At 44.3% G+C, this 12,290-nt stretch overlaps 1 long non-coding RNA gene and 1 pseudogene across 3 annotated transcripts in view; one reads left to right on the top strand and one right to left on the bottom strand.

The window, feature by feature from the left end:
• SMURF2P1-LRRC37BP1 (SMURF2P1-LRRC37BP1 readthrough transcribed pseudogene) overlaps positions 1 to 12,290 on the bottom strand; it is a 61,002-nt pseudogene that overhangs the window by 44,028 nt on the left and 4,684 nt on the right. The gene's annotated exons all lie outside the window — the stretch shown is intronic.
• LOC124903978 (uncharacterized) lies at positions 1,450 to 4,503 on the top strand. Of its 2 annotated transcripts, none has more exons than XR_007065708.1 (2): positions 1,450 to 1,493; positions 4,154 to 4,503. It is a non-coding gene; the product is annotated as an uncharacterized LOC124903978 (long non-coding RNA). The 2 variants fall into 2 exon arrangements; XR_007065707.1 differs by lacking the exon at positions 1,450 to 1,493 and adding an exon at positions 1,590 to 1,628.

The following is a 12,290-nucleotide window of genomic DNA, read 5'->3' as shown; positions in this document are numbered from 1 at the left end:
GTGTAATTCTCATATATTAATTCTATTTGCTAATATTTTGTTAAGGATTTTGCATCTTTATTTATGATGGGTATTGTTTGGCAGTTTTCGCCTTTTTTGTGTGTGCTTCCTTTGGTTTTGGTGTCAGAGTAAATACTAACTTCTTAAAATGATTAAGCAATGTTCTTTTCTATTTTCTGAAAGAGTTTGGGTAGGGTTGGTGTTAATTATTATTATTATTATTTTTTTGAGACGGAGTCTTGCTGTGTCACCCCCGCTGGAGTGCAGTGGCATGATCTTGGCTCACTGCAACCTCTGCCTCCCGGGTTCAAGTGATTCTCCTGCCTCAGTCTCCCTAGTAGCTGGGATTATAGGCGCGTGCCAGCATGCCCAGCTAATTTTTGTATTTTTAGTAGAGACAGGTTTTCACCATGTTGGCCAGGATGGTCTCGATCTCTGGACCTTGTGATCCACCAGCCTCGGCCTCCCAAAGTGCTAGAATCACAGGTGTGAGCCACCTTGCCTGGCGGTGTTAATTATTTTTTAACTGGTAGAATTGTCTAGTGAAATCATTTGAGTCTGGAGACTTCTTGTTTGTGAATTTTTTAATTACAAATTTAATTTTCTTAATAGCCATAAGGCTGTTCTTATTATCCATTTCATATTGGATGAATTGTGGTAGATTATTTTCATTTTTTTGAGGAATTGGTCCATTTCATCTAAGTTGTTGAATTTATGTAGAACTAGTTTTAGTATTTCCTTACTACCTTTTTAATGTGTATAGAATATATATCCCCCATTTCTTTCTTTCTTTCTTTCTTTCTTTTTTTTTTGAGACAGTCTCACTCTGTCGCCCAGGCTGCAGTGTAGTGGCACAATCTCGGCTCACTGCAACCTCCGCCTCCTGAGTTAAAGCGATTCTGCTGCCTCAGCTTCTCCCAAGTACCTGGGATTACAGGCACCCACCACCATGCTCAGCTAATTTTTTTATTTTTAGTAGAGATGGGGTTTCACCATATTGGTCAGGCTGGTCTCGAACTCTTGACCTCAGGTAATCCACCTGCCTTGGCCTCCCAAAGTGCTGGGATTACAGGTGTGAGCCACTGTGCCTGGCCAATTTAAACATCTTTAAGGAAACACGTCAAAATGTAACTAGAGGTTGTTTCTAGGTAATGGGACCATGGGGATTTCTATTTCTTCTTTGGCATATTCATATTTTCCACTTTTTCTGTAATGAACATCTATTGTTAAAACAGGTAAGATATTGAGTTTTAGCAAGATAAAATATGCAAATAGAAAAGAAATAAAAGAAATATACCCAACGTCAATAGTAGTTGCCACTAGATGATGGCATCATATGAGATTTTCATTTTCAACTTTCTTTTTTTTTTTTTGTCTCATTCTGTCGCCCAGGCTTCTGGAGTGAAATGGCACAATCTCAGCTCACTGCAACCTCCACCTCCTGGGTTCAAGCGATTCTCCTGCCTCAGCCTCCCAAGTAGCTGGGACTACAGGTGTGCACCACCATGCCAGGCTGTTTTGCATTTTTAGTAGAGACAGGGTTTTGCCATGTTGGACAGGCTTGTCTGAAACTCCTGGTCTCAAGTGATCTGCCTGCCTTGGCCTCCCAAAGTGCTGGAATTATAGGGGTAAGCCACCTTGCCTGGCAGATTTTCATGTTTAGCTTCGATGTTTTCTGAATTTTCCACAAAAAGCATATATTAGAATTTTATTGGTAATATCACATATTATACCACCCCATATTAGATGAATGGGAAGAGGAAGATAAGTGGTTACACAGTCAGGAGAAGGGTCACGTCAATAAACTAAAACTAAAAACTTCTGCGTTATCATCAACTGCTATAGAGTCTTTCTTTCAAAGATATCTAATTGTCGGCTGGGCGCAGTGGCTCACGCCTGTAATTCCAGCACTTTGGGAAGCTGTGGTGGGCAGATCGCTTGAGGCTCAGAGTTTGAGACCAGCCTGGCTAACATGGCGAAAACCCATCTCTACTAAAAAATACAAAAATTAGCCAGGCGTGGTGGTGCACACGTGTAGTCTCAGCTACTGGGGAGACTGAGGCATGAGAATCGCTTGAACCTGGGAGCCAAGATTGTGCCACTACACTCCAGCCTGGGTGACAGAGTGAGACCCTGTCTCAAAAGAAAAGAAAAGAAAACTCAAGGGACCCTAACAGCTAGCTGCCTTAACATAGCTGATAAGCTATCAAGTTCAGGTCAATTAAATTTGTTCCATGTGGTTCTGCAGGAAGTAGCCAGGACCAGTGTGGTGGGGATGCAATTGGAATTACATTGAGACAGACCTTGAGATAGGAGGAAGGATTTTTGAGTAGTTTGAAATGGCAGAAGATACACTGGTCTTGAACCTGCTCTTCCAAGTGTGGTGCAGAATTGCAGCCTGGCTTCAGAGGAAGCCTATTAGACAAGTACTGGGTCTCTGCCCGCAGCTCAGACCTACTGAATCAGTGCCTGCAGTTTAAAAAGATGCCCAGGGCCAGGCGTAGTGGCTCATGCCTGTAATCCCAGCATTTTGGGAGGCTAAGGCAGGCAGATCACTTGAGGTCAGGAGTTTGAGACCAGCCTGGCCAACATGGTGAAACCCCGTCTCTACTAAAAATACAAAAATTAGCCAGACATGGTGGCAGGCACCTGTAATCCCAGCTACTAGGGAGGCTGAGGCAGGAAAACCGCTTGAACCCGGGAAGGCAGAGGTTGCAGTGAGCTGAGATCGTGTCATTGCACTCCAGCCTGGTTGACAAGAGCGAGACTCTGTCTAAAAAAAAAAAATAAAAATAAATTAATAAAAAAAAGATATCTTAGATAATTTTTGTGCCTATTCTGCTTATGTAGATAAAAAAAAATTTGAGACATGATCTCACTGTGTCACCCAGGCTGACATACCATACTGAATTCTCATATTACTTCCAGTAAAATCTTAGTTGAGTCTCTCAGGCTTCTTAGGCTGTCTAACATTTATCATTTCATATGCAAATAATGATAGTTTTGTCTCTTCCTTTTCAATACTTATACTCTTTCCTTCCTTTCCTTTCCCTTTTTTTCCTTTCCTTTCTTTGTTTTTCTTTCTCAGGGCCTTGTTGTCACCCAGGCTGGGGAGTAATGGTGTGATCTAGCTCACTGTAACCTCAAACTCCTGGGCTTAAGGGATCTTCCTGCCTCAGCTTCCTGAGTGGCTGGGACTACAGGCAAGCAGCTAATTTTAAAAATTTTTTTGTAGAGATAAGGTCTCGCTATGCTTTCCAGGCTGGTTTTCATGCCACTTTAGAGGAAGGACTCAGGTTTCCTTTATTTCCTACTTTTAAGAGTTTTTTTTAAATTATTATTAGGAATTGTCTGTTGAATGTTAGCTAAAACAGTCAATAAAATGTATTAAGTGCCAGCTGCATGCAAGACCCTAAGTTAGATACAGTCAGCCCTCTTCATCAGCAGGTCCACATCTTCAGATTCAATTAGATGAGGCTGAATATTTGAAAAAAGAAACAATAAAAATACAAATAGAAAGTACAATATAACAACTGTCACCATTGTACAATATCTATACATTTTATTAGTGATGACTTAAAGTACATGGGACCAGGCACGGTGGCTCACACTTGTAATCCCAACACTTTGGGAGGCCAACCTGGGCAGCATAGTGAGATCTTGTCTTTACTAAAAATAAAAATGAAAAATTAGCCAGTGTGGTGGTATGCACCTGTAGTCCCAGCTACTCAAGAGGCTGAGGTGGGCAGATCACTGGAGCCCAGGAGGTTGAGGCTGCAGTGAGCTGTGATTGTGACATTGCACTCCAGCCTGAGCAACAGAGGGTGATCCTGTCTCTAAGTAAGTAAATAAAGTATATGGGGGGATGTGTGTTAGTTATGTGCAAATACTGCACCATTATATGTAAGGGATTGAGCATCCAGATTCTGGTATGCTGTGGAAGCAGTATCCTAGAACCAGTCCCCCGCAAGGTAGCAAGGATGACTGAACTGTGGAAGAATCAAAGCACTGTTAAACAGCATATAATTCCTGTCTTCAAAAAAGTTATCTCTTCGGGTAGATGAGACTTATAATGAATAAAAGGAATGAATACAGATTTGGAGCTAATGGTTGTTGTGATGCAGAATCTTAATTGCGTTTTCTTCCAAAACAGATTCATTCTCATAGAAGGGCATCAGAGGAAGATAAAGAAGGATCCTCAATGTCAGACATCTGAGCCCAAGCTAAGCCATCATAATCCCTGTGACGTGCACATATACATGCCCCACTCCAACTAATCAATCGACCTTGTGACATTCCTCCCCTGGACAATGAATCTCATGATCTCCCAACCCTGCACCTTGTGACCCCTCCCCTGCCCACAAGAGATAACCACCTTTAAGTGTAATTTTCCACTACCTACCCAAATCCTATAAAGCTGCCCCACCCCTATCTCCCTTTGCTGACTCTTTGTGGACTCAGCCCACTTGCACCCAAGTGAAATAAACAGCCTTGTTGCTCTCACAAAGCCTGTTGGTAGACTCTCTTCACGTGGACGCACATAACAGTTGGGAGTTGGAGACCAGCCTGACCAACGCGGTGAAACCCTGTCTCTACTAAAAATTCAAAATTAGCTGGGCGTGGTAGTGCAGGCCTGTCATCCCAGCTACTTGGGAGGCTGAGGCAGGAGAATTGCTTGAACCCAGGAGGCAGAGGTTGCAGTGAGCTGAGATCGCACCATTGCACTCCAGCCTGGGCAACAGAGCAAAACCTTGTCTCAAAAAAAAAAAAAAAAAAAAAAGAAAGAAATTGGTAATCAAGATATCCTCCACAACCCTCAAATTCTCTGGTCCTGATAATTCCATAGGTAAGTTTCACCAAACTTGGAAGGAATAAAACCTCATGTCTTGTGCAAGTTGTTCCAGAAAATAAAAATAGAAAGTTACCCAAATCATTCTGTGGAGCAGGTATAAATGATTCTAAAGTCATATAAAACAGTAAAAGAAAATAAAATTAGGCTCATTTTACTTATCAACAAAGATGGTAAAATTCTAAATAAAATGTTAGTAAATCAAATAGAAAAGAGGACAAAAGTCAGGCCCATCAAAATAATTTGACATTAGAAAATTAATCAATATAAAAGCAAAACATACAGTTATCTCAGTAAATGCAGAAAAGGCATTTGGCAAAGGTAAACAGCTATTTATGGTTAAAAAAAACTATCAGAAAGTTAGGAACAGAATACCCTTAACTTGACATCTACTAAAAACCTACAGAAAGACATTATGGTTAGCTGAGAAATTTCAGACTCATTTTGCTTTGAATTGGGGAAAAAAGGCAAAGATAGCCATTGTCAAAGCTACATTTAATTGTAGTATTGGAAGTCTTTGCCATCATTATAAGGCAAGAAAAATAAATTAGAGTTATAAGGTTTATTAGGGAAGCAAAAAATTTATGAATCAGAAAGTTCACCAACATTGCTGTGTAAATGATCACTTAAAAAATTAATAGCCAGGCATGGTGGCTCATGCCTGTAATCCCAGCACTTTGGGAGGCTGAGGTGGGCAGATCACAAGGTCCAGAGATCGAGACCATCCTGGCCAACATGGTGAAACCCCGTCTCTACTAAAAATACAAAAATTAGCTGGGCGTGGTGGCACATGCCTGTAGTCCCAACTACTTGGGAGGCTGAGGCAGGAGAAGCGCTTGAACCTGGGAGGCAGAGGTTGCAATGAGCTGAGATTGTGCCACTGCACTCCAGCCTGGGCAACAGAGCGAGACTCCATCTAAAAAAAAACAAAAAAAATTAATAGTCAGGGGTCTCTAGAGAAACAGTCACTAGGGTGCATTCATTCATTCATTCATAAGGAATAAAAAAGGATTATTAGAAGGAATTGGCTTATGCAATTATGGAGGCTGGCAAATCCAAATCAGCCCAAGTCTGAATCAATGTCTCAGTTTAAGTGTGAAGTCAGGAAGCTACTGTAGAACCAGGAAGAGCCAATGACTCATTTCAAAGGCCAAGGCCATCAGGCAGGAGAATTCTCCTACTTGGGGGATGGTGAGCCTTTTGTTCTGATCAGGCCTTCAACTTATTGGATGAGGCCCACCCACATTATGGAGGGCAATCTGCTTGACTCAGTTTACCAATTTAAATGTTACGCTCACCCAAAAACACCCTCACAGAAACACCCAGAATAATGTGTGACCAAATACCTGGGCACCCCATGGCCCAGTCAAATTGACACATAAATCTAACCAATACAATGTTCCTCCTCACTAAGGTAAAATATTAAAAACTATCCCCAGTGAATCATGCCTCTCCGGATCCACCCCTTTGCAATGTGCCTTTGCTCTCCTGCCCACCACCAGGCCCTCAAACATGTGAATGAAGCCATCTTGAAGCCTCTAAGACAGTCCAGTCACCCCACTGATGTCATGTGAAGCACTTTCTGCAGAGAGCTGCCTGAAACTCTGACCCCCCAGAATCATGAGTAATAACATGGTTGTGGTTTTTTTTTTGAGATGGAGTCTTGCTCTGTCTGTAGCCCAGGCTGGAGTGTAGTGGCCTAATCTTGGCTCACTGCAACCTTCACCTTCGTTCAAGCGATTCTCCTGCCTCAGCCTCCCGAGCAGCTGGGATTACAGGTGCCCACCACCACGCCTGGCTCATTTTTTTGTATTTTTAGTAGAGATGGGATTTCACCATGTTGGCCAGGGTGTTCTCGAACTCCTGACCTCAGGTGATCTGCCCACCTTGGCCTCCCAAAGTGCTGGGATTACAGCTGTGAGCCACTGTGCCTGGCCTGGTTGTGTTTATTCACTGAGTTTAGGGAGTGGTTTATTATGCAGCCATACATAAATGATGTAACTGATACTACTGATTCAATAAGTAATGAGAAAATGTGAATTAAGATATGACACAATAGCACCAGAAATTATTGTGTATCCTGGAATTAACCTAACACAAATGCACAAAATCTTTATGAGGAAAAATATAAAACTCTTTCAAAGGATGCTTTAAAAGACTCAGATAAAAGACATGCCTTTTTTTTTTTTTGAGACGGGGTCTCACTCCATCTCCCAAGCTGGAATACAAGTGGCGTGATCTCTGCTCACTGCAACCTCTGCCCCCAGGCTTAAGAGATCCTCCCACCTCAGGCTCCCAAGTAGCAGGGACCACAGGTGTACACGACCACACAAGGCTAATTTTTTTGTACTTTTGGCAGTGATGGGGTTTTGCCATGTTGCCCAGGCTGGTCTTGAACCTCCTGGGCTCAAGTGATCTGCCCACCTCGGCCTTCCAAAGTGCTGGGATTACGAGCCTGCGCAACAGCCTGGGTGACACAGTGAGATTCCATCTCCAAAAAAAAAAAAAAAAAAAAAAAAAAAAAAATTAGCTGGGCGTGGTGGCCTGTGCCTGTAGTTCCAGCTACTCGGGACGCTTAGGCAGGAGAATCGCTTGAACCCAGGCGGCACAGCTTGCAGTGAGCTAAGATCGCACCACTGCACTCCAGCCTGGGCGACAGAGCAAGACTACGTCTCAAAAAAAAGAAAAAAAAACCCCTGATAATAAAGAAGCCAAATGTTCAACTCTCAAAGATGGGAGACCTCAAAGAAATAATTAATAAAGGCAGAAGTGAAAGGGAAGATGTTTGACCTGGTCAATAAAGCAGTTTTTTTTTGGTCTTTTTTGAGATGGAGTCTTGCTCTGTCGCCCAGGCTGGAGTGCAGTGATGCGATCTCGGCTCACTGCAACCTCTGCCTCCCGGGTTCAAGCGATTCGCCTGCCTCAGCCTCCTGAGTAGCTGGTACTACAGGTGCGTGCCACCAGGCCCAGCTAATTTTTGTACTTTTATTAGAGACAGGGTTTCACCATATTGGTCAGGCTGGTCTCAAACTCCTGATCTCAGGTGATCCGCCCACCTTGGCCTCCCAAAGTGCTGGGATTACAGGAAGGCACCACCGCGCCTGGCCTAAAGCAAAATATTGGTTCTGTGCAAAAGGTCAATAAAAAGAGCAAAAGTTTACAAGCTGGAGCCTGCACCCATTCAGCTCAGTGTGTCTGGAGAAAAAACAATCTCGCTTCAAAATTCATGATCACGCAGCCCTTTTTGCTTCCTAAGAATCCTACTATGTTGCTGTTGACCATTCTCCTTCTTTCTCTCTGTCTTGCTTTCTCTCCAGAAAAGCTATTCAGACTCTCTCCTCTTTCCTCAAACCTCCAACACTTTCTCCTTCATCCTTAGCCTCAGCTGCTGACCTCACTTCTGATCACTGAGAAACCAGGAGAAGCATTTAAGAGTGAACTTCCACCTCCCCACACAGGCAAAACCACCCACCTCCCTATGTTTGTGTCCCAATTCTGTGTCCTCTCCTCTCACCATGGATGGACGGTCCAGGCTCCGAGCCAAAGCCAGGCCTCCCCTGGAGCTCTGGATCCACCACCTGCAGCTTCTCAGGCAGGGCCCCAGCAGCTCCCCTGCTCCCTTGCACCAGCAGTCCCTCCCCTCACTGGGTCACTCCCAACAACAGATAAATTTAGTGACGTTTCTCCCGTGTGGTAAAGTCACTTAGCCTCACTCCTCCCCCAACTACTATCCTATTTGTTTCTTTCCATTCTCTACAAAACTTTTCAAAGCGTTGTGTCTATGTGCTGACTCCATTTGTCTTCTCCCGTTCTCTGCTGAGTCCTTCCCACAGACTCTCACCCCAGTCACTCCACGAAATGACCTCTGCACTGCCACATCCAATGGTCAATGTTCATTTCTTAATTTTATTCAGTCTTTCAGCAGCATTTGACCTGGCCGATCACTCCCTCTTCTTAAAAATACTTTTCTCAGCCAGGCGTGGTGGCTCACACCTGTAATCCCAACACTTTGGGAGGCCAAGGCAGGAGGATCATGAGAGCCCAGGAGTTCAAGATCAGCCTGGGCAACATGACAAGACCCTATCTCTACAAAAACTAAAAAGTAGCCAGTGTGATGGCATGCACCTGTAGTCCCATCTACTCAGGAGGCTGAGGCAGTAGGATCACTTGAGCCTGGGAAATCAAGGCTGCAGTGAGCCATGATTGTACCACTGCACTCCAGCCTGAGTGACAGCGAGACCCTGTCTCAAAAAGACAAAATAGAAAACTTTTCTCAGCACATTCCTCTGATTCTCCCGCTGCTTCTGGCGGCACAGGTTCAGTCTCCTTTGCCGGTTCTTCCTCATCCTCCTGATCTCTTGACCTTGAAGTGCCCCAGAGTACAGTCTTTTTTTTTTTGAGACGCAGTCTTGTCTGTCACCCAAGCTGGAGTGCAATGGCGAGGTCTCAGCTCATGCAACCTCCGCCTCCTGGGTTCAAGCGATTCTCCTGCCTCAGCCTCCCAAGTAGCCGGGACTACAGGCACACGCCACCATGCCCAGCAAATTGTTGTATTTTTTAGTAGAGACAGGGTTTTACTATATTGGCCACGCTGGTCTCAAACTCCTGACCTCGTGAACCACCCACCTTGGCCTCCCAAAGTGCTGGGATTACAGGCATGAGCCACCACGCCCGGCCCAGAGTACAGTCTTTAGATGGCCTTTCTACCTATACTTGCTCCCCTCATAAACTCCTACTGCCTCGTGGCTTTAAATACCACCTGTAGACTGATGACTCCCATATTTCTTTGTTTTTTGGAGACGGAGTCTCACTCAGTCCCCCAGGCTGGAGTGCAGTGGCACGATCTCCTCAACTCACTGCAAGCTCCACCTCCCGGGTTCACACCATTCTCCTGCCTCAGCCTCTCAAGTAGCTGGGACTACAGGCACCCACCACCACGCCTGGCTAATTTTTTTGTATTTTTAGTAGAGATGGGGTTTCACCATGTTAGCCAGGATGGTCTCGATCTCCTGACCTCTTGATCCGCCCATCTCGGCCTGCCAAAGTGCTGGGATTGTAGGTGTGAGCCACCGCACCCAGCCGATGACTCCCATATTTCTATCTCTTGCTGGGTGGGAGTTCTCCTCAGAACTCCATACTCATAAATCCAACTCTCATAAATAGCATCTCAAATGGGCAATATGCTCAAAAGTCAATTCCTACTTTTCTCCCTAAACTTGCTTTCCTGCAGTCTCCACCATCTTAATGTCCAATCTAACCTGGAGGCAAAAACTTTGAAGTCATTCTTGACTCTTCTCTATTACACACCCTATCCAATCTTTCTGCAGATCCAGTCAACCCCCAAATCCAGTTAGCTCTCATCATCTCCCCTGTTACCCCCCTGGTCCAGGCCATCTTCCTCTCTCACCTGAATCACTGCAGCATTCTCCTCACTGGTCTCTTTGGTTCTGTTTTCACTGCACCTTAGCACAGTCTCCACAGAGCAGTCAGAGGGATCCTTTTAAAGTGTAATTCCCATCCTGTCCCTGCTCTGCTCAAAACCCTGTTGTGATTCCCGTTTTAATCTGTCAGATTAAAAGCCAGAGTCTTTCCAGTGACCTACATGATCTGCCTATTATCACCTCCCACTCCTTTCCCCTTGCTCACTCCACTCCAGCTCTGCAGCTGTCCTTTCTGTTTCCTGAACAGCCCAGATTTTGCTTCTTTAGAACCTTTGTATTTGCTGTCCCCTCTGTCTGGAATGTTTTTCCAGGAAGTCACCTGGCTCTCTCCTGCACTTCCTTCCTGACCACCATGTTTAAAAATCACTCAAACACACTTCAGGCCGGACATGGTGGCTCATGCCTGTAATCCCAGCACTTTGGGAGGCCAAGGTGGGTGGACCACCTGAGGTCAGGAGTTCGAGACCAGCCTGGCCAACATGGTGACACCTCGTCTCTACTACAAATACAAATATTAGCCGGGTGTAGTGGCACACACCTGTAATCCCAGCTACTCATCAGGAGGCTGAGGCAGGAGAATCACTGGAACACAGAAGGCGGGGGAGGTGCAGTGAGCCAAGATCACGCCACTGTACTCCAGCCTGGGTGGCAGAGCAAGACCCCTTCTCAAAAAAAAAAAAAAAAAAAAAAATCACACAAACACACTTCTCTTCATATTCCCTTTCCAAGTTTTATTTTTCTCCAGAATACTTTACATTGTTTTAACAAAAGTTCTCTGTTTCCCCCCAACTAGAATGGGTACTTCCTGCAGGTAGGCACTCTAGTCCTCCCATCCAAGTACTAACCAGGCTCAACCCTGCTTAGCTTCTGAGAGCAGGGGAGATCAGGCCTGTTCCGGGTGGTATGGCCCAAGAATTTTGATTCTGTTTGATTCACTGCTGTTCTGTTGATTCTCTTTTGTTCCTCCTCCTAGTGCTGAGAACCCTACTTGAACATAATAAGCATTCAATAAATATTTGTTGAATGAATGAATTGTTGAATGAATTAATCTCAGAAATTCAGGACTGGTTCTACATTAGAAAATTTTTCAAAGTCATTCTCTTGTTGTATCACATTAAGAGAGAAAAATTTTGTACTCTAAATCATTTGATAAAATACATACTGATTTCTGTTTTCAAAAACTCTTATCGGCTGGGCGCAGTGGCTCACGCCTGTAATCCCAGCACTTTGGGAGGCTGAGGCAGGCGGATCACGAGGTCAGGAGATCAAGACCATCCTGGCTAATACGTGAAACTCCGTCTCTACTAAAAATACAAAAAATTAGCTAGGCATGCTGGTGGGTGCCTGTAGTCCCAGCTACTCGGGAGGCTGAGGCAGGAGAATGGCGTGAAACCGGGAGGCGGAGCTTGCAGTGAGCCAAGATCGCGCCACTGCACTCCAGCCTGGGCAACAGAGCGAGACTCCGTCCCCCCCCAAAAAAAAAAAAAAAGTTAAGACCTCAAACTATTAAAATTACAGAAGAAAACCTAGGAAATACCCTTCTCAACACTGGCCTTGACAAAGAATTTTTGGCTTAAGTCCCCAAAAGCAATTGCAATAACAACCAAAATAGGTGGAATCTAATTAAACTAAAGAGCTTCTGCACAGCAAAGAAAACTATCAACAGAGTAAACAGACAACTTACAGAATGGGAGAAATATTCACAAACGATGTATCTAATGTCCAGAATCTATAAGAAAAACTTAAATCAACAAGCAAAAAACAAATAACCCCATTAAAAAATGGGCAAAGGACATGAATAGACACTTCTCAAAAGAAGACATACAAGTGGCCAACAAACATGAAAAAATGCTGATCATCACTCATCATCAGAGAAGTGCAAATCAAAACCACAATGAGATGCCTTCTCACATTAGTGAGAATGGCTACTGAAAAGTCAAACAAATAACAGATGGTGGTGAGGCTGTAGAGAAAAGGGAGCACTTATACACTGTTGGTGG

This window comes from Homo sapiens, chromosome 17 (assembly GCF_000001405.40).
Source record: "Homo sapiens chromosome 17, GRCh38.p14 Primary Assembly".
NCBI lineage: Eukaryota > Metazoa > Chordata > Mammalia > Primates > Hominidae > Homo > Homo sapiens.
This window is presented reverse-complemented; position numbering and strand designations above follow the sequence as displayed.